Source organism: Homo sapiens, chromosome 20 (genome assembly GCF_000001405.40).
Source record: "Homo sapiens chromosome 20, GRCh38.p14 Primary Assembly".
NCBI classification, from domain to species: domain Eukaryota; kingdom Metazoa; phylum Chordata; class Mammalia; order Primates; family Hominidae; genus Homo; species Homo sapiens.
This window is the reverse complement of record NC_000020.11, coordinates 5,792,448-5,815,540: the sequence shown is the minus strand read 5'-3', so window position 1 is coordinate 5,815,540 and position 23,093 is coordinate 5,792,448. Positions and strand designations below refer to the sequence as shown.

The following is a 23,093-nucleotide window of genomic DNA, read 5'->3' as shown; positions in this document are numbered from 1 at the left end:
TAGCTTGCAGGCTGTACAAAAACAGGCATAGGGTCAGAATTGGTCCACAGGCCAGAGGCTGCTGACTCCTGCTCTATGGTCTTATTTACACATCATTGGCCTCCACCTCACACTTTACTGAATTAGAATCTGTATTTTAATAGGATCCCTGGGTGGTTAATAGTCACATTACATTTTGAGAAGCACTGCTCTAAGGCAGTGGTTTTTCAGCGTGGCTGCATATTAGAAGCACTTGAGCTTTTACAAAATCCTGATTCCCAGGCTGCCCTATATACCAATTAAATCAGAGCTTCTGGAGATGAGTCCCGGGCATCAAGATCATTAAAACTTGCAGTTGATGCCGATGTGCAGACAAGGCTGAGCACAGTGGTTCAAGGGGCTCATTTAATGCAATCCAACAAGCGTATCTGCTCAGGAGAGAAAAAAGCTCAATTCTCCCCCAGGGCCGCTGTCTCGCAGGCATGAATGGCTTCTGGAACCACAGAAACCCCCAAGGAACATAAGTGATGAAAAAGAACACTGGAGCAAATTCTGGATGTTTCCTTCCAATCCTCTGGTGTTGTGTGTCATTAGAAAAAGTAATTTTGGGGCCGGGCGCAGTGGTTCATGACTGTAATCCCAGCAATTTGGGAGGCCAAGGTGGGCAGATCTCTTGAGCCCAGGAATTCGAGACCAGCCTGGGCAACATGATGAAACCCGTCTCTACAAAAAATTAGTGGGTGTGGTGGCATGCGCCTGTGGTACCAGCTACTCAGGAGGCTGAGATGAGAGGATCACTTGAGCCTGGGAGGCAGAGGTTGCAGTGAGCTGAGGAAATTGCACCACTGCACTGCAGCCTGGGTGACAGAGTGAGACCCTATCTCAAAAAAAAAAAAAAAAAAAAAAAGAAGAAGAAAAAGAAAAAGTAATTTTGGAAATAAAGAACTTACTTGAAAGGATGTTAGCAATTTTACCTCAAAAGTTAAAATCTAGCTGAAAGTAGACAAGTCATTCATCTTTTTCAACTTTGGAATTATGTAAAAGAATTAATTCAATTCTATAGGGACTGTGCTCAGAAGAATTTTAAATTCTAGAACATTTAACAAAAAATATACAGATATTCCTAAATAAGCCACCACTGAGTGGTCAATATTTTTCTTTAAGATTCTTGGGTCCTATAAGACAATTTCACAGATGAAGCTTACTTTTGCCAGTGTAAGTAAATATTTAACACTTTCAAAGATGCTTCTTGGATTGATACCCAGGCAGCCATAAAGGAAAAGCAGTAATAATAGGTGTTTTGAGGGGTCGGGCGCGGTGGCTCATGCCTATAATCCCAGCACTTTGGGAGGCCAAGGTGGGTGGATCGCTTGAGCTCAGGAGTTCAAGACCAGCCTTGGCAACATGGAGAAACCCCATCTCTACAAAAAAAAATACAAAAATTAGCCGGGCATGGTGGCACACGCCTGTAGTCCCAGCCACTCTGGAGGCTGAGGTAGGAGAATCGCTTGAACCAGGGAGGCGGCGTTTGCAGTGAGCTGAGACTGTGCCACTGCACTCCAGCGTGGGAGACAGAGTGAGACCCTGTCTCAAAAAAAAAAAAAAAAAAAAAAAAAGAAAGAAAAGGAAAAAGGTGTTTGAGAAAAGCAGGCTTGTGTCTTAGTTTAAAAGCCACTTAATTCAGTTTTTTGTTTGTTTCATTTTTGCTCTATAAATGGAGGAAATAGTGCCATAAGTATGTTACTATTTCTCTTGCTCTTTTCCAATATTTGCATTTTCTCCTCTTCCACAGAAAGGTAATAGAAGAGGCACTTCATCAGAGAATTAAGTTTACAAGCAAAACAAAAATGTATTAATTTACTCCTTTAATACCAAAATTCTTCCAGACTCTACACACACATTGCCTTATCAGAGAAACCTATCCAGGCCATCATATTTTAATCACACCCTTCATCTCTAACACTGCTTTCCTTTCTTCACAGCAGCAGCTGTTACAGATTTCTTTTAGTGTCTATATACCCCTTCTGCCCCTTCCAACCATGATCCTAAGAACTAGAATTATTTATTTATTTAGAGACATAGTCTTGCTCTGTCACCCAAGCTGGAGTGCAGTGGCACAATCTCGGCTCACTGCACCTCCACCTCCTGGGTTCAAACAATTCTCCTGCCTCAGCCTCCCAAGTAGCTGGGACTACAGGCACGTGCCACCACGCCTCGCTATTTTTTTTGTATTTTTAGTAGAGACAGGGTTTCACCACGTTGGTCAGGCTGGTTTTGAACTCCTTAGCTCAGGTGATCCGCCTGCCTCGGCCTCCCAAAATGCTGGGATTACAGACGTGAGCCACAGCACCCAGCCAAAGAACTAGAATTTAAAAAGCCCTTTAAAGACCAGGCATGGTGACTCACGCCTGTAATCCCAGCACTTTGGGAGGTCGAGGCGAGTGGATCACTTGAGCCCAGAAGTTCTAGAGCAGCCGGGGCAACATGGTGAAACCCCACCTCTACTAAAAATAGAAAAAAATAGCCAGGCATGGTGGCACACACCTGTGGTCCCAGGTACTTAGGAGGCTGAGGTAGGAGTGTCACCTGAGCCTGGGAGGTTGAGGCTGTGGTAAGCCACGATTATATCACTGCACTCCAGCCTGGGTGACAGAGTGAGACCCCGTCTCAATAAAAAAATAAAAATAAAAATAAAAAGCCCCTTAAAGAGAGGGAGAGCCTTTGTCTATTTTGTTCACTGTGTATCCCCGACCCTAGGAACAGGGTCTGCAGCATAGTAGATACACAATAAGCATTTCGCTAATGACTGAAGGGACAACATTCACAACCCTGTAAAGAAGCTAGCCATCAGGGTTCAGGTAAACAATCTAACATAATACGGAGAAACAGAAAAGAACTCTGCATTTAGTGAGGCATAATACCTGGTGAAAGTAATACACATGGCAAAGCTACTTCTCATTCATGATGATTTATTTTATAAAGCAAAGACACAATTGTACTGAGCTCCTGAGGACTTCTGGCTCTGTTGTCTTACAAGAGGCCACTCGTTCACTTGTTCAAAAATTGTCGGAATTTTTAGAAATGGAAAGAAGGACTCTAAAGTTACATATATCAAAACCTCTAAGTGTCTGTTATTAATAATAGTTCTTACCATCTTCCAGTTGCCTGTTAAGCACTGAGCACAGTAATCAGTGCATTGTATACTGGATACATAGAAGTTTTCCAAGCAGTGGCCTATGGACTCATGCTAGGCCATGATGAAACCCTTACTAGTCCATGGATACGTGAGAAAAAAACACTAGGGACTACAGAAAACTGATCTTTATTTTGGGATTAGGTCCTTCTTTCATTTTGAATGTTAAAATATCCTTTCTTTTATGAAATGCTAATAGATTTGTGGAGATATTGGTATAGGTTGTTTTTAAGATTTTTGCTTGGCAAAATAAAAGGTCGGGTCCTCAAAAAAAAAAAGAAAAAAAAAGAAAAAAAAAAGAAAAAGAAAAAGAAGTTCCTAGACTAGGACTTACAGATACATATTATCCCACTTACCCTTCATAGCAATCCTATGAACTAAGTATTAGTAATCCCCATTTTACAGATGAGAAAATTAAGGCTTAAGAGAAAGTAACTCGCCTTGGGTTATACAGCCGGCAGTGGTGGAGATGGGGTTTAGTGCAGGTGTTCAAATTCATTTTTTTTTTTTTCAGAGACACAGTTTCACATTGTTGCCCAGGCTGGAGTGCAGTGGCATGGTCATGGCTCACTGCAGCCTCGACCTCCTGGGCTCAAGTGCTCCTCCCACCTCAGTCTCCCAAATAGTTGGGACCAAAGGTGTGCACCACCACACCTGGCTAATTTTTAAATTTTTTTGTAGAGACACAGTCTCACTATGTTCCCCAGGCTGGTCTTGAACTCCTGGGCTCAAGCAATCCTCCCTCCTTGGTCTCCCAAAGCACTGGTTTTACAGGCGTGAGCCACCATGCCCAGCCTCAGGTCTCCAGCTTGAAAACACATTTTTTTTTGTCTACCATTCTACTGCCAGAAGACACCAGTCTGGTCCTAATACACTTAATGTCAGAAATACATTATTTAGAGAACTGGAAGAGAAGGGAATTAAAAAGCTGTCCTTTTTAATTAAAACTCCTGAGGTTTGTGTCTATTTTGTGAGATTTCACCTTTCTGGGGGCATATGTTTTCTAATCTGATAAGTAAAGTTTCCACTCTCAGTTGCTGGCTGTGGCTCTCCTGTCCTATGACTTCGCTAGATCACAGAAGGAAGGTGCTCTCTCCAAGAATTAAGGGAGTCCTGGAAACATCTGTCTTGGAACTGTCACTTATGGAGTCATATGACCTGGGACATCTCTCTGAGCTGTGGCTTCTGGTACGTAATTTGGAGAGAATAAGCCTTTTCCTGCCTGGCTGCAGGATTACTATATGGATCAAATACTTGGCATCGATCACCCCTCAGTAAATGTCTGATCAAAAGTAGATGTATGAATGAACTAATGCTATATATTACTGTTGCTGGAAAATGAAGTGTCTTATGTGATATATTAGTATTAGGTCATCAGCACTTCTCAGCATTGGATGATCATACAGGACGATCTTAAAGCCAGGACATCTGCAGAGTTAACAAAAGATTATATAACAGAATTATCTTTTTTTTTTTTTTTTGAGACAGAGTCTCACTCTGGAGTGCAGTGGCATGACATCTGCTCACTGTAACCTCCACCTCCTGGGTTCAAGCGATTCTCCTGCCTCAGCCACCCAAGTAGCTGGGATGTAGTTACAGGCATGCACCACCATGCCTGGCTAACCTTTGTATTTTTTGTGGAGACATGGTTTCACCACGTTGGCCAGTCTGGTCTCAAAACTCTTGATCTCAAGTGATCTGCTTACCTCAGCCTCCCAAGGTGCTGGGATTATAGGCGTGAGCCATCATGCCAGGCCTACAGAAATACGTCTATTGGTAGGGGAAATAGAAAGAATCAATGGAACACCTGTATGTACCTACTGTTCATCCTTATCCCACTTAAAAAATATATGTGCAATGGCAGAGTAATGGAATATTTTAAGACTTAGAAAGACTCTAGGCAACTTAGGCAAATGCTCTCATTTCACAAAAGATAATTAAATGGCTCGGAAGGTCCCATAGCTAATTAGAGGCAATAATGAGATTAGAACACCTATCTCCTAATTGCCACCTAGCCTAATGCTAAGATCACTCTACCACAGTATCAGTCCCCTTAGTTACTCGATGTCTAAGGTGGTCCATTATTGAACAATACAATTTTTTTTTTTTTCCGAGACAGAGTCTTGCTTTGTCACCCAGGCTGGAGTGCAGTGGCACGATCTTGGCTCACTGCAACCTCCACCACCCGGGTTCAAGCAGTTCTCCTCCCTCAGCCTCCCAAGTAGCTGCGATTACAGGCGCGCAGCATCACGCCTGGCTAATTTTTGTATTTTTAGTAGAGATGGGGTTTCACCATGTTGGCCAGGCTGGTCTAGAACTCCTGACTTCATGATCTGCCTGCCTCGGCCTCCCAAAGTGCTGGGATTACAGGTGTGAGCCACTGCGCCTGGCCGAACAATCCAATTTTTGACAAAGGTGTAGTATGTGATAAACTAGATATGCCAGAAAACTGAAATAACAATGAGACCTCAGTATGTGACATCACTGTGTACAGCAGGGTTTCATACCCTCAGCGCTATCGGGCTAGATAATTCTTTGTTGGGTGGGGGAACTATTCTGTGCATTGCAGGATATTTAGAAGCATCCCTGGCCTCTCCCGACTATATGTCAGTAGCATCCTATGGCTTTAACAACCAAAAATGTCTCCAAACTCCACCAAATGTCCCCTGGTGGTGGCAGCACGGGGCAACGGCCACTGGTTGAGAACCAATGGTGTAGAGGAAATATTTAAGTTGTCTGTACAACTGAGGAAGGATGGATGCAGTTGTACAATGTGGGGTAAGAGTGGTTAGAAGATAATTCATCCAGCTAGAGCTGGAGCTGCTGAGCTTTGACTGTATTGGTTGTTTTTGGTGGCAGAGTGACAATAACCTCTGGAGCAAGCTGGACTACAGAACTGGGGACCCACTTCAGGGGAGGCAGCCGGCTTTTCCTTTCAGGATGCTGCTAATCAGACACTTGGCAGTAGGGTGTGACATAAGGGGAAATGAGGATTTAACTCTGAGCTCAGAGCAAATACATCTAATTCTAAGAGTCTATTTAAGGAGAGCCATATCTATGAATGCTGTCAAGATTCACTCTAAACCATAGTTAGTATTTGTTTCATGGAATTAAAATGAGTTTCTTATTTTTGTGCAAACATGTACGTTAAGATCCTTTCCACTATTTAGTCATACATTTAGTTCTTTGGTGATTTTTAAAAGCTGTCCTTTTCATCACTTATGAGCATGGTTTTAGAAAGAAAAATCCACCCCCAACATTTCTCACCTCCTCTTATGAGAAATTATTCTTTTTTAGTTCTACCTCTGGAAGTACATTCTCATGAGGTATGTGCCACAACTCTGTATCTGCCACTATGGCAACTCATAAAAAATGCCACCCCCTTAAATTCCTTCATGGCATATTAATTTGATGTTCTAAAACAAACACTTTACTGTGAATTAACTCCTAACCGATAATATTAACCCAACTAAACTGGCTTCTGTAACACTTTCACCATCTGTAAGAATGTTTCTTGTGCAAATAAAGGCGATCTTTTGTTACTTAGCCATTAAATTTCATTAAAATATTTTCTGCTTAAATCCACTAAATCACTAATATTCAAAATACAACAATATAGTTACCAAGTTTGACTCCATGAATGAGAATATTCATTCACCAAATGCATTAGATAAGCTGTGTAAGAGGAGATTCCCTGCAAGATTGTTTATGAGTAAAAACATGGGTCAATCTAAACATCCATCAATAGACATCTCGTTAAATAAACTATGATCCAATCATACAATGGGATACTATGCAGACAGTAAAAATATGAGAGAGCTACATGTACCAACATGGCAAGCTGCCTTATTATAGCAATAAGTGAAAAAAGGGCAAGATGCAAGATAATATTTTGGTAAAATTCCATTGGTATTTAGAAAAAAAGATATACGTGCTGTTTGTGTGTGTACAATATACACATGTACATATGTATGTATGTCTATCTATATTTATGTATATAGATCTGTAGGTGTGTATATGGAAGGATACACAAAAGTTATCTACAATAATTACTTCTGGGGAGAAGCATGAAGACCTAGGACTTTTACGTTTCTTTTTTTTTTGAGATGGAGTCTTGCTGGAGTGCAGTGGCGTGATCTTGACTCACTGCAACCTCTGTGTCCCAGGTTCAAGGGATTCTCCTGCCTCAGCCTCTCGAGTGGCTGGAATTACAGGTGTGTGCCACCATGCCCAGCTAATTTTTATATTTTTAGTAAAGACAGGGTCTCACAATGTTGGCCAAGCCGGTCTCGAACTCCTGGCCTCGCGATCTGCCCACCCTGGCCTCCCAAAGGGCTGGGATTACAGGCATGAGCCACCGCGCCCGCCCTTACATTTCATTTTATACTCTTTTGTACTGTTTATTTTTATAACGATTTTTTAAAAGAAAAGGATGATTAGTGCTTTATCATTAAAAATAGGCTAACCTTATCACAAGTGTCACAACAATGATACATATACCCACCTGGGGACCTTCCTCCAAAGACTAGTAGCAGTAAGTCTACAAAAAGAAGAGAGATTTCCTCTTTCTAGCTCATTGCTTGAAATCACTTCTGGTTTCTAGGGAGCATAAATTCTGAGGCTATATTCTCCAAAAGGAAGTCGAAGGGGTACCTCTTTTCCAACAATGTTAAAGTAATTCTAGGGTTAATGTTTTGCCAAACTGGGAGATTCCACAGAAATATGTCCCAGTGACTCAGGAGGCTGAGGTGGGAGATCACTTTAGCCTGGAAGTTTGCAACCAGCCTGGGCAACATGACGAGACCTCAACTCTACAAAAAAATGTAAAAACTTAGCCAAGCATGGTGGAACACACCTGTAGTCCCAGCTACACAGGAGACTGAGGCAGGAGGATGGCTTGAGCCCAGGAGTTCAAGGCTGCAGTGAGATATGATCGCATTATCAAAAGAGAGCAAGATCCCCAATTCAAAAAAAAGGAAAAAAGAGAAAGAGGAAGAAAGAGAGAGAAAGAAAAGAAGGAAAGAAGGAAGGAAAGGAAGGAAGGAAGAAGGAAGGAATGAAAAGAAAAGAAGGAAAAAATAAATAGTAACTTATGAAACTGCTTTGAAAACTGGGATGGGTATTACGAGGAATTTTCAGAAGTTAGGAATTTATACTACATTTTCAGGTTTATTTTTTTAATTAGGATGATATAATTGTGCCAATTTTGAATCACAATTTGAGCTAATCATACATAACCAAGAGCTGCCCTCAGCCCAGCACAAGAGAGGCGTACCAGGCAAAGGCCACCCAGGAGGGCAAAGCCCTGCAGGGCTCCAGCTGAAAGCAGTGGGCATGGGCCTGGCTCACAGCTACCAGCCAGCTGATTTCTAAGCCAGTGCATTGAGGAATAAAATGAGAATTCAAGGCCAAGATTGCAGGTACAGGTTACACGACCACTCACTCACTCTTCGGTGCTAAAATCAAGTCCTTCAGTGGAAATACATAATACATGGCATTCTAGTGGAGAGGGTGGTGACAGAGGGCTGGCAACCATCACTGCCACCACTCTGTTCACATCCCTTGGGTGCGGAGAAACAACAACACAGGATGTAAATAAGAAATGTTGGTATCTTAACTGATCAGTGCATCACGGGCAGCCAAGGTGGTTAACAAAGCCAACTCTCCCTTCATTCTGCAATGACATGGTGATGCTGAATCTCTCTGTCCATGGCCAGAAGCAGGCGCCACTGCCCTCAACAGCTCCTGGGACAACACTGCAGGCCTCTGTTCCACTTCTATCAAAATTCTATTGTTTTGTTTATTTTAGGTTAAGCCTAATTCCTTCAGAACTTGGGAGGTAGTTTATCAAAACTGCATGCCTGACTGGTAGGAGAGGAAATGAACACAAGGCATGTATTGCAGATAATCCACTTCCCCACAGTAATACAGGAAAATGATCAGTGCTTCAAAACCATCACAAAGGATGGGGTAAGTGATAGAGGGACGGGAGATAAGCAAATGTTCTAGTTTTCAAATGGAAGGAAGAAGACACGATCCACAAATCCATATACTGTGGACCAATAGCATGATGCGTAAGCAACAGTTTTAAAGTTTGTGGGTGGAGATTCTCACTTATGTCAGCTACTATGTGTCCACCCATCAGGTAGATATTATTGTCCCCATAAAACAGATAAAGAAACGCCAAGTAAAAAATTATAAAGCAGCCAGATGTGGTAGCTCACACCTATTATCCCAACATTTTGGGAGGCTGACGCAGGAGAATCACTTGAACCCAGGAGTTCTAAACTAGCCTGGGCAACAGAGCAAGGCCGCATCTCTAAAAAATATTTAAAAATTTAAATCAAAAAACATGTTTAAAGCGATAATGCCCTTCAAACCCCAAAGGCTGTGCTTTCTCCCCATTCAATAGAGAAATGGAGGTCACCAGACCCAGCCGTCACTCCTGCCATATTAAACACAAATTTAGGCCAGGCGCAGTGGCTCATGTCTATGATCCCAGCACTTTGGGAGGCCAAGGAGGGCGGATCACCTGAGGTTGGGAGTTTGAGACCAGCCTGGCCAAAATGGTGAAACCCTGTCTCTACCAAAAATACAAAAATTAGCTGGATGTGGTGGTGCACACCTGTAATCACAGCTACTCGGGAGACTGAGGCATGAGAATCATTTGAACCCAGGAGGCAGAGGTTGCAGTGAGCCGAGATTGCGCCACTGCACTCCAGCCTGGGAAACACAGCAAAACTCTGGCTCAAAAAGCAAAACAAAACAACACAACACACAAATTTAATCAACAGTTCAAGCATTTACATTCCTATTTTGTTGTCTGCCCCAAATAATTTACCTTTCCCTTTTTTAAGAAATTGAAAAGTGTACCACTTATAGAATGGCCTAATTTCATAATATAAACAAACAAAAAGGATTAGGGGTCTCACGCCTGTAATCTCAGCACTTCGGGAGGCTGAGGTGGGCGGATCACCTGAGGTCTGGAGTTCAAGACCAGCCTGACCAACACGGAGAAACTCTGTCTCTACTAAAAATACAAAATTAGCCAGGCATGGTGGCACATGCCTGTAATCCCAGCTACTTGGGAGGCTGAGGCAGGAGAATCACTTGAACCCAGAGGGCAGAGTTCGTGGCAAGCCGAGATCGCGCCACTGCACTCCAGCCTGGGCAACAAGAGCGAAACTCCATCTCAAAAACAACAGCAGCAAAGGATTAAGACTTTGATAAAGAAGATTAAGGAGGGGAAAACAGAATGTTACTGCAGCTTCATGACTGTTAGACCAAGAGTTGAGCATGAAGGCACAACCCTCCTAGGCCAAGATAGTATTATTCTCCTGGGAGACAAAAAGGGCATTTGGGGTTAGTATTGTAAACTCTTGTTTTTCCTTCAGCTGATCACTGTGGAATGCTGCCAGGCCTCCTGCTGCCTGGACTCCACCAAGATTTCCTGTTCAGGGCAAAGGCTTTATTTCGCCACCAGCACACAGTTCTGTGTTAGGTAAACAAAGTGCTGGAGTCTTTGAATATGTGGAATCTCTTGGGTTGATTTGCTTTCCCCCTTGCCTTCAAACACTTCAAGTTTTCAAAGTCAATAGGAAACATCTCATGCAAAATTGAACAAGAGGCTCCTTCTTCATGCAAACTTTTGTTTGATGCACAGGCATAACTTTCCATGCCAGTCCTGAAATGGAAAGTGGCACTGGCATTCATGATTAGGTGACAAAAATGAATGACGGCCACCTTCATCAAGTATGATTTCTGCAATGGAATTTTTAGAGCACATATTATGTTAGGCCATAACTGAAATGTTCTTGTACGGTCACATATCAAGTCAAAGATAATGAACGATCACAGGATGTGGCAAAACCTGAACAAACAAAATTAGCCTGCAGGTGCCACAAGGTCATGTAAAAAACACACAGGAGCTAGATTTTCTTGTTTGTTTTTTGGTTTTTTTTTCTAGTTTTTTTTTACACTATACTAATGTCTTACAGTAACTGTATATATATATATAGTTTTTTTTTGCGATATACAAATGTCTTACAGTAACTATATATATATACAAAGACCTATAGTAAGTTACTATATATATATAGTAAGTACGGCTCATTGCAACCTCTGCCTCCTGGGTTCAAATGATTCTCATACCTCAGCCTCCTAAGTAGCTAGGATTACAGGCATGTGCCACCACGCCCAGCTAATTTTTTTTGTATTTTTAGTAGAGATGAGGTTTTGTTATGTTGGCCAGGCTGGTCTCAAACTCCTGGCCTCAAGTGATCTGCCCGCCTCGGCATCTCAAAGTGCTAACATTACAGGTGTGAGCCACTGCGCCCGGCCATACAGTAATGATATTGATCTCGCCATAAGACTGGATAACTTCCTTAATGATCGAAGGGGCAGAAGACAGGCCCTCAACCTCCAAATAGCAAGTCCACACCACCTGCTCTTTCGTCATTCTTGTTTTGTTTTTTTTTTTTAATCTTTTTTATTTTTTTGAGACAGAGTCTCACTCTGTCATCAGGCTGGAGTGCAGTGGCGCGATCTCGGTTCACTGCAACCTCCACCTCCCAGCTTCAAGCGATTCTCCTGCCTTAGCCTTCTGAGTAGCTGGGACTACAGGTGTGTGCCACCACGCCCAGCTAATTTTTTTTTTATTTTTAGTAGAGATGGGCTTTCACCATGTTGACCAGGATGGTCTCGATCTCTTGACCTTGTGATCTGCCTGCTTCGGCCTCCCGAAGTGCTGGGATTACAGGTGTGAGCCACCGCGACTGGCCCTTGTTTTTTTTTAAATGTTAAATCTAATGCCTAGAATTCTGGAGACTCCCCTGAAGCCACAGGCTCCCACATTTGGGAGAGCTTTCATTCTTTCTATCAGATTTTCAAAAGGATCTACAGACTGGGCTTGGTGGCTCATGCCTATAATCCCAATGCTTTGGGAGGCTGAGACGGAAGGATCACTTGAGGCCAGGAGTTCAAGACCAGCCTGGGCAACATAGTGAGACCTTGTCTCTACAAAAGAATTTTTTTAAAAAATTAGCCAGGCATGGTGGTACTCATCTCAAGTCCCAGCTACCTGGGAGGCTGAGGTAGGTCTGCTAGAGCCCAGGAGTTCAAAGCTGCAGTGAGTTATGATCACGCCACTATACTCTAACCTGGGTAACAGAGCAAAACTTTGTCTCAAAGAAAATGAAAAAGAAAAAAAAAAGATCTGCAATCAAATAAGGTGAAGAACAAATGTGTTCACAAGGCCCCCTGGTCTTCAGGAATGCTGGATTGAAATACGGCCCCTCTTGAGTTGCTTATTGACTGTATATTAAAGGCAAGAATAAGCCCAGAACAGCGAGAAGGGAAGGCCGGGACTGGTAATCAAGCCAGATGGAAGCCAGAGCAAAATGGAACCCATTTAACACTTTGTCTTGGTCCTGGCCCTGCAGTGAGTGATGAAGAATTCTTGGTATAATCATTAAAAGAAAGCTCAAGAGGCCGGGCACAGTGGCTCACGCCAGTAATCTCAGCACTTTAGGAGACCAAGGTGGATGAATTGCTTGAGACACTGGGCAACGTGGCGCACATGTGTAGTCCCAGCTACCCAGGAGGCTGAGGTGGGAAGATCACCTGAGCCCAGGAGGTCTAGGCTGCAGTGAGCCATGATCACGCCACTGCACTCCAGCCTGAGCAACAGAGTGAGACCCTGTCAAAAAAATGAAAAGAAAAAGAAAAATAGAAAGGAAGAAAGGAAGGAAAGAAGAAAAGAAAAGACATGGATATAGCTTGGAGGAGAGGTGGTGATGACATCGATGGCTAACATGGATCAGACACTTACAAAGCACCAGGTACTGCTCTAACCACTTTGTAAGTATCACTGCATCTCATACTAACCCTAGTACCTTATGATGTACGTACTAGTATTATTCAAAGTTTCCAAATGAGGAAAGTGTGGCCCAGAAGGATTAAGAAGCTTGCCCAAAGTCACAGAGCTAGTGGGTAGCAGATCTGGCCCCAGGAAGTCTGACCCCTAACAGTGTCTCAAGAGACCCAATCCAGATAGAGGCCACCAACAGGAAAGCAGGGCCTGGAGGACCAAGGACATCCTTTCACAAAGCTGAGAAGGTGCAAAGAGCAAGCATGGTGGCTGGGTCAGGGAAATTGCAAGGAAAAATAAGCAGCAATACAAGGGAAGTTGGGATCTGGACATGCTTTTTCTTTGGATCCTGGCAGCTTCCTGGGCAGGAGAAATTCCTTAAAAGGCCCTCACAGGACTCTAACTTGTTTCCAAATCCAAACTTCTCTGTAAGATAGAATAATGGTATAATAATAACAATGATAATTTTTAAAAACAGTGTATGCATTTTTCCTGTGGTAAGTTTAGAACCATCATTCAATTCAATGAGTACCCACTGAGAACATCCAATGTAGCACACACAGTACTAGGCACAATGCTTTTGAACACGGAACTTTATAGTGGAGACTTATGTAACTTCCATAGCACATTAAAGATCAAATGTTAAGACATTTCCAAATGTTAAAATAGAGCACTCCTCCTAATTTTCCCATCTATGGGATACGGGGGGCGGGGGAATCAATCTCCCAGGTTATTCCTGTGAGAGTACTCTAATAAATTACTCTGTCTTTTGTACAGGGTCCTCTCCTCCCTGCTATATCTTCAGGAGCCACTCCCATCTTCCAGAGGAGCCCTGCCCTGTGCACACTTGAGCTGTGGCTTCTTCCTTCCAGTAGAGCCCATCTGTCCTGGCCTTTGAAGGAGTTAATCAAGCCATATGTCAAACATTTTCCATTCTCCCCTCTCCAGGCCACTGACAGGACTGCACGTCCTGGGGCCACGTAAGTAGTCCTGAGCAATGAACTGTGAGTAGGATACTTGATTCTCGTTCACTTCCAGGGCAGAGCATTCAACTGCCAATGAGAAGCCCTTCGGAGTTCTCTTTTTGCCTCTGTAAGGCAATAGCAACATTCAAGATGGTGGCTGGGCCAGGCATGGTGGCTCATGCCTATAATCGCAGCACTTTGGGAGGCGGAAGTGGGTGGATCGCTTGAGGTAAGGAGTTTGAGACTAGTCTGACCAACATGGTGAAACCCCGTCTCTACTAAAAATACAAAATTAGCTGGCCTGGTGGCACACGCCTGTAATCCCAGCTACTTGGGAGGCTGAGGCAGGAGAATGGCTTGAACCTGGGAGATGGAGGTTGCAGTGAGCCAAGATCGCACCACTGCACTCCAGCCTGGGTGATAAGAGAGAAACTCTGTCTCAAAAAGAAAAAAAAAAAAAAAAAGATGGTGGCTGTTAGGTCCCTAAACAACTAGCCCTCTGACAGTCCAAATGAGCATGAATGAGAAATAGTCTATAGTTTTTTAAACAACTTCAATTTGGGAGTTGTTACCACAGCATAATTTAGCCTTTCCTGATGCACAGCCTTTCAATGATGCTCAAAATTTCTGATCCATAGTCATCACCTCTTCTTCCTTTTCAGGAGATATAGACATACGCACACACACACACACAGGTATAGATACAGATAAAGATGGATTTATACATAGATGTAATTTTTTTCTTGTCATCTCTTAGAGTTTGAGGTAGAAGAAAAGGGATGGAACTGGTGTGCCCTACAAGTCACCTTGATCCAACCTCTGTACATAAATTCTTTTTTTTTTTTTTTTTGAGACAGTCTCGGTCTGTTGCCCAGGCTGGGGTGCAGTGGCACAATCTTGGCTCACTGCAACCTCCGCCCCAGGTTCAAGCAATTCTCCTTTCTCAGCCTCCTGAATAGTTGGGATTACAGGTGTCTGCCACCGTGCCCAGCTAATTTTTGTATTTCTAGTAGAGGGTTTCATCATGTTGGCCAGGCTGGTCTCGACCTCCTTACCTCAAGTGATCCACCCACCTTGGCCTCCCAAAGTGCTGGGAGTACAGGCGTGAGCCACCACGCCCGGCCCTATAAATTATTTAAATACAAAAAATAAATAGAAGTTGTAAAGAGCCTTTAAAGAAATCTCACAATTTGAATTTGGAAATATACAGATAGAAAAGTTTTTTATAGGAAAAAAGGCACAAATGATGTCTTGGAGTATAAAAAGCAATGTACTTTGTATGAACTTCCAAGACAGTGTGGGAAGAATCTTTGCTGTAGCTCAGGCAGCCTTGAAACTATTGACATGTTTGGGCTGCAATTCTTTGTTGTGGGAGAGGGCTGCACTGTGCATTGTATCATGCTTAGCTTCATCTCTGGCCTTTATGCACTACATGCCAGTAGCACTGCCCCCTACCCAGTTGCAACAACCAAAAATGTCTCCAGACATTGCCAAATACCCCCTGAAGGACAAAATCACTTTGAGAACCACTGCTCTAGCAATAATCACGTATGGCCTTAAACCCTTTCTTACAGAATTGGGCCACATTTTCCATTCAAAAGAGATTAGCTCTTTCATGTTTATGTACTGACACAAGTATGGTTCCAATGCCATACAACTGGGTCCAAGACAAATCATTCCAGGTTCTCATGTTTAGGTCAATGATATCTTACCACCTTTTCCAGAATTACTTCTAGGGTATGAATCTTGAGTTTGTAAGTATCCTTTTAAAAAGACTTACACTTCATGAAGGCAATTTGAAAGGAATATGGTACTGACCCTATAGTAAGAAGGCCATTCCCTATATGCACATGCCAATCTCTCATCAAGAGCTGAGTCAATTCCTTCACTCTTTGAATTTGAGCTGGCCTGTGATAACAGAAGGCTGGGCGCGGTGGCTCACACCTGTAATCCCAGCACTTTGGGAGGCCAAGGTGAGCAAATTGCTTGAGCTCAGGAGTTTTGAGACCAGCCTGGGCAACATGGCAAAACCCTGTCTCTCCAAAAAAAAAAAAAAAAAAAAAAAAAATTAGCCAGGCATGGTGGTGCATGTCTGTAGTCTCAGCTACTTGGGGGGCCAAGATAGGAGGATTGTTTGAACCCGGGAAGTTGAGGCCGCAGTGAGCCAAGATGGTGCCAATGCACTACAGCCTCAGGGACAAAGTGAGACCCTGGCTCAAAAAGAAAGAGAGAAAGAAAGCAAGAAAGAGAGAGAGCGAGAGAGAGAGAATAGGGGAGGGGAGGGGAGGGAATGCAACAGAAGTGAGGCTAGCCTTTAATTTTTTTTTTTTTCTGAGACAGAGTCTCGCTCAGTCATCCAGGCTAGAGTGCAGTGGTGCAATCACGACTCACTGCAACCTCCGCCTCCCAGGCTCAGGTGATCCTCCCACCTCAGCCTCCTGAGTAGCTAGGACTACAAGTGAACGCCACCATGCCTGGCTAATTTTTGTATTTGTATTTTTTTGTAGAGACGGGGTTTTGCCATGTTGCCATGTAGAGACTCACAAATGGTCTCAAACTCCTGGGCTCAAGTGATCCACCCACCTTGGCCTTCCAAAGTATGGGGATTACAGGCATGAGCCCCCACAACTGGCTGAGGCTAGTTTTTAAGAGAACTGAGGGAGGCTGAGGTGGGCGGATCACGAGGTCAGGAGATCGAGACCATCCTGGCTAACCCGGTGAAACCCCATCTCTATTAAAAATACAAAAAAATTAGCCGGGCACGGTGGTGGGTGCCTGTAGTCCCAGCTACTCTGGAGGTTGAGCCAGGAGAATGGCGTGAACCTGGGAGGCGGAGCTTGCAGTGAGCCGAGCTCTCGCCACTGCACTCCAGCCTGGGCGACAGAGTAAGACTCCGTCTCAAAAAAAAAAAAAAAAAAGAAAACTAAAATGTTAGGCCAGGCGCAGTGGCTTACGCCTGTAATCCCAGCACTTTGGGAGGCCGAGGCGGGCGGATCACAAGGTCAGGAGATTGAGACCATCCTGGCTAACACGGTGAAACCCTGTCTCTACTAAAAATACAAAAAATTAGCCAGACATGGTGGCAGGCGCCTGTAGTCCCATCTACTCAGGAGGCTGAGGCAGGACAATGGTGTGAACCCGGGAGGCGGAGCTGGCAGTGAGCCGAGATCACGCCACTGCACTCTAGCCTGGGTGACAGAAAGACTTCGTCTCAAAAAAAAAAAAAGAGAACTGAGAGTTTCTACTTTTCTTCTCTTGGAAGGCTCACTCTTGCGATTTCCCCTCTCAGAACTCAGCCACCATGTTGTCAGAAGCCTGAGCCACATGGGCATGGAGAGACCACAGGTGGCCACTTCAGCTGACAGCCCAGCTGGGCTCCCAGCTGATGACTAGCATCAACTATCAGCCATGTGAATGAGCAGCCTTGAACATTCCAGACCATTCAAGCCCCCAAGTGACTGCAGCCCCAGCCAATATCACATGGACCATAAGAACCACTCAGCTGAAGCACATCAACCCACAAAATTGTGAGAGAGAACATAATGGTTGTTGTTCCACACCACTAAATTTTGGGGTAGTTAGGCAGCAAGAGATAACCAAAACAAGGCCTCTGATTCAACTGCTGTTGATGACAGAGAACAGAGGGTCATATCTACATGTATAATAGGCATAGAGCCTAAGCAGTAGCCCAGGAAATAGTGAACAAAGAGGCCTGGGACACTGGCAAGCCTAGGACTGCAGGTATCAGTGAAATCAAGTGACTGGATGTTCATGAGTAGCAAAGGCATTATAAATGTGACTTATTAAACAAGTTAGACATGTCTCCAGTCAAATATGATTTGACTAAACATACAATTTTACATGCCCATCACTGTCACAGATACTATAATACTGTGTCTAGTAAGTAAGTAGGGACAGTGTGCTGGGACTGGGACTATATGGGACTTCACACATATTCTTCTTCTTCTTTTTTGAGATGGAGTCTAGCTCTGTCACTCAGACTGGAGTGCAGTGGTATGTTCATAGCTCACTTGCAGCCTTGACCTCCAGGACTCAAGCAATCCTCCCACCTCTGCCTCTTGAGTAGCTGGGACTACAGGCACTCGTCACCATGCCCAGCTTATTTTGTTTATATTTTGTAGAGATGGGGTCTCACTATGTTGCCCAGGCTGATCTTGAACTCCAGAGCTCAAGCCATCCTCCTAACTCAGGCTCCCAAAGTGTTGGGATTACAGGCATGAGCCACTGTGCCCAGCCCACACACATTATTCTTAATCCTCACAAGAGTATAAAATGTAAGCATACTAATCACTCCCTTGCTCCCCTCTCCCTCTTTCCTTTCCTAATTCCTTTCCTTCCCCCTTTTGTTTTTCCTTATTTCATCAAGAAGAGTAGTTTTAAATTTTTAAAATCACAGCATCCATTGTTAGATGAATAAAGCTTCCTATCATTACTTTGGAGCAAAAGATAGAATCCAGAGCTCTGGGTCTGTTTTTCTTCCAATTCTTCCTAATATGCTGAGAGATATGCAATAATACTTCTCATTTTCCTGGCTAGTTAGAAACAACTTCAGCTTCTCATGCCTGTTGAAGGTTGAGTTAATATTTGAAAAGTGATATGCCGATTTACAGTCTAAAACTGTAGACTGTAAAACTGCAGCCAATTATCCTTTAACTCACCTCTCCACCTTTTTTTTTTTTTTTTTCTGAGACAGGGTCTTGTCCTGTTGTCCAGGCTGGAGTGCAGTGGTGCAATTATGGCTCACTGCAACCTCCGCCTCTTGGGCTCAAGCAATCCTTCCACCTCAGCCTCTAGAGTAGCTGGCACTATATGCGCATGCCACTCTGCCTGGCTAATTTTTTGTATTTTTTTGTAGAGATGGGGTTTCTCCATGTTGCCCAGGCTGGTCTCAAACTCCTAGACTCAAGTGATCCACCCGCCTTAGCCTCCCAAAGAGCTGGAATTACAGGCATGAGCCACTGCGCCCGGCCTCATCTCCCCCCTTTCTAACTCACGCTGAAAATGTTTCAAATTCAAATTTAGGGAATTCGCTATGGGTTTTAAAAAAGAGATAAAGCAATGGAAAACCATAGGGTGCCTTTCACATAGACCACAAAAGAAAAAACTCTAGAGGGGCAACTCAAATCATAGTTTAGCAATTATCTGTTTCTTATTATGATTTTTCTATGCCTTTTTATAGTAATATATTAATAACATTAATAACTATGACCAATAGTTCAATTAAAAAAATACTTTAGATAATTTTGAGAGTGCTCACAGTAAGAAAACTCTGAGGTCTTGTAATAAACAGCTATAAAAATGTTTCCTCTAAGATCTGATTAAAATTTGGATTATTGCTCTTTTGCTTTGGTAAATGTATAACAACATTCTAATTTCTATTCCTTAAGTAATGATTTCTAGCACCACCCAGAATGTAATAGCTTCAACAGCTAATCTTTACATAGAGAATTCTGATGTGGAGAAATAAGTAGATATCTACTGTTCCGGAATAGATGATATTTTCTTTCTTTCTTTTTTTTTTTTGAGACAGAGTCTCGCTCTGTTGCCCAGGCTGGAGTGCAGTGGTGCGATCTCGGCTCACTGCAAGCTCTGCCTCCCGGGTTCTGGGTTCATGCCATTCTCCTGCCTCAGCCTCCCGAGTAGCTGGGACTACAGGTGCCCGCCACCAAACCCGGCTAATTTTTTTTTTGTATTTTTAGTAGAGACGGGGTTTCACCGTGTTAGCCAGGATGGTCTCGATCTCCTGACCTCGTGATCCACCTGCCTCGGCCTCCCAAAGTGCTGGGATTACAGGCATGAGCCACCACACCCGGCCAATAGATGATATTTTTTGTAATGAGTTTGTTCATTTCTATTTGTTCTGTGTAGTTATGAAACTTACACAGCCTGATTTTTTTTTTTTTTTTTTTTTTTGCGAGACCAGAGTCTTGCTCTGTCACCCAGGCTGGAGTGCAGTGGCATGATCTCAGCTCACTGCAACCTCTGCCTCCCGGGTTCAAGCAATTCTCCTGCCTCAGCCTCCCAAGTAGCTGGGATTACAGGCACGTGCCACCACATCCAGCTAATTTTTTGTATTTTTAGTACAGAGGGGGGTTTTGCCATATTGGCCAGGCTAGTCTTGAACTCCTGACTTCAAGTGATCTGCCCACCTTGGCTTCCCAAAATGCTGGGATTACAGGGATTAGCCACCATGCCCAGCCTATACAGCCTGATTTTATCACTTTGGTTTTGCGTGTGTGTGTGTGTTTTTTGTTTTGTTTTGTTTTTGTTTTTTTTGAGACAGAGTCTCACTCTATCCCTCAGGCTGAAGTACAGTGGTGTGATCTCGGCTTACTGCAACCTCTGCTTCCTGGGTTCAAGTGATTCTTGTGCCTCAGCCCCCCGAGTAGCTGGGATTACAGGTGTGTGCCACCACGCCTGGCTAATTTTTGAATTTTTAGTAGAGACAGAGTTTCACCATGTTGGCCAGGCTGGTCCCGAACTCCTGACCTCAGATGATCTGCCCACCTTGGTCTCCCAAAGTGCTGGGATTACAGGTGTGAGCCACCAAGCTCGGCCATCACTTTGTTTACATATGTAAACAAATAAGTTTACATATCTTATTTTCCCAACTAGACGATCAACTCCATGAGCACAGGAATCCTGTGTTCTCACTGATTTATATCACCCTCAATCTGTAGCACGGTACAGAGAAAACAATTTTAAAAATGGTCTCATTCATTTCACTGATTAGACGTCTAATAAACATAGTATCTAATACAGTCTCACAAACATGGCTTTGCTTAAAGACACCCCAGATTAACAGGGATCCTTCACCATAAGACTATTTGTAGAATACAACATAGGAACACCTTTCAAATACAAATCAAAGCACTTTGCAAATAAGAAGGCATCTGTTGACAAATATACATGACACTCACAATGAAGAGATTATATAAGAACAGGATGCAATAATTTGCCTAAAATTATATCCAAAGTTAGCAGAAAATATATATTTTCATAGCAAATGCTAAGAAGTAATTCTATAGATACTTTTGGTCAGTGTTAATCCGAATAACTTCTCTGTAAGGGGCCTGTCCCAGGAAAAGTCACTTTTTTGCCTCGTACTGAGCAACATAAAGAAGTGGAAGTCTTAGACTCCTGAAAGGAACTCAAGAAAGAAGTGAATCCAGAAACCAACCCCAGTAGCAGCACTAGTTGTAACAGCAGTGGTGGTAATGACAGCTAGCCTTTGCTAAGTCTACTCAGCTCCAGGTGTCTCACTCAATCCTCATGACAACCTATGAAGCAGATAGTGTTATTGTCCTCATCTTATAGATGAGGAAACTAAGAAAGAGTGAAGTGCAGTCACTTGCTCAAGGTCAGAAAGCTAGCATGTTTAGCTAGCTATAGAATCAAGGTGAAAACTCAGACCAGTCAGGCTCCAAAACAAACAAACAATCAGAAAATGTAGAACGTGATTTTTTTTTTTAAGTGAGGGGAACATCTAAAACCAGAGAGAAAGGGGCCTGGCGTGGTGGCTCAGGCCTGTAATCCCAGCACTTTGGGAGGCTGATGTGGGCAGATCACCTGAAGTCAGGAGTTCAAGACCAGCCTGGCCAACATGGTGAAACCCTGTCTCTACTGAAAATACAAAAAAATTAGCCAGGCACGGTGGCATGTGCTTATAATCCCATCTACTCAGGAGGATGAGGCAGGAGAATCACTTGAACCAGGGACGAAGGTTGAAGTGAGCCGAGATCGTGTCACTGCACTCCAGCCTGGGCAACAAAAGTGAAAGAAAAAAAATACCAGAGAGAAAGGAATACAATGATTAAATAAATAACATTGAGACAACTGGCTTCCATTTGGAAAACAATAGAGCTATCATCTTGTTTCATACTTTACCCTAAAATAAAGACTTCAAAGTTGAAAATTAAACTTTTAAAAATACTAAGAAATGGAGGTGCCTATTTATATAATCTTGGAAAGCAAGAATGGTTTTCCTAATTTTATGCTAAAGCAGAAGCATTGATTGATAAGCTTGACTATATAGGAATCTAAAATCTCTATACATCAAAAAAAACCCACAACGTGAGCCACTGTGCCTGGCCTAATGTGGAATTTTAAAAGGCAAGTTGCAGAACAGCATGTTTTTGTTACAGGTTTTTTGTTGTTAAAATCTCTACATAAACAAATGCACTAAAATACATAAATTTACATGCACATATTTATCCACACTAAAATATATTTATAGGTACATCAAAAAAGAATACATACAGACCTCCAAATAGCAAAAACAATTCCGAGGAAAAAAAAAGTTGGAGGACCCACACTTCCTGATTCAAAACATAGCTACAGTAATCAAAACAGTGTGGCACTGTCATAAAGACAGACATACGGACCAATGGAACAGGACAAAGACCCAGAAATAAACCCTTACGTATATGCTCAAATGATCTTTGACAAGGGTGCCAAGACTACTCAATAGGGAAAAGAAGGTCTCTCCAACAAATGGTGAGGGGAAAACAGCATATCCACATGCAAAAGAACAAAGTCGAGGCCAGGCGTGGTGGCTCATGCCTGTGATCTCAGCAGTTTGGGAGGCCGAGGTGGGCAGATCACTTGACATCGGGAGTTCGAGACCAGCCTGGCCAACATGATGAAACCCCGTCTCTACTAAAAATACAAAAAATCAGCCAGGCATATTGGCGCACGCCTGTAATCCCAGCTACTCGGGAGGCTGAGGCACATGAATCTCTTGAACCCAGGAGCCAGAGGCTACAGTGAGCCGGGATCATGCCACTGGACTCCAGCCTGGGCAACAGACCAAGACTCTTTTTCTTTTTTTTTTTTAAAAAAAAGAAAACGGCAGATCACCTGAGGTCAGGAGTTCGAGACCAGCCTGGCCAACATGGTGAAACTCTGTCTCTACTAAAAATTCAAAAATTAGCCAGGCGTGGTGGCACACACGTGTAATCCCAGCTATTTGGGGGACTGAGGCATGAGAATCGCTTGAACCCAGGAAGCAGAGGTTGCAGTAAGCCGAGATCATGCCACTGTACTTCAGCCTGAGGGATACAGTGAG

General features: G+C 43.3%; 1 protein-coding gene across 6 annotated transcripts in view, besides 1 other annotated feature; it reads right to left on the bottom strand.

The window, feature by feature from the left end:
- SHLD1 (shieldin complex subunit 1) overlaps positions 1 to 23,093 on the bottom strand; it is a 114,203-nt gene that overhangs the window by 48,855 nt on the left and 42,255 nt on the right. The window lies entirely within an intron of this gene.
- Positions 17,219 to 17,418: an enhancer, noted in NCBI's record as "active region_17530". NCBI's record gives its function as "activates an Ori minimal core promoter by ATAC-STARR-seq in GM12878 lymphoblastoid cells {active_cell/tissue: GM12878}" and the evidence as "EXISTENCE:reporter gene assay evidence [ECO:0000049][PMID:35858748]".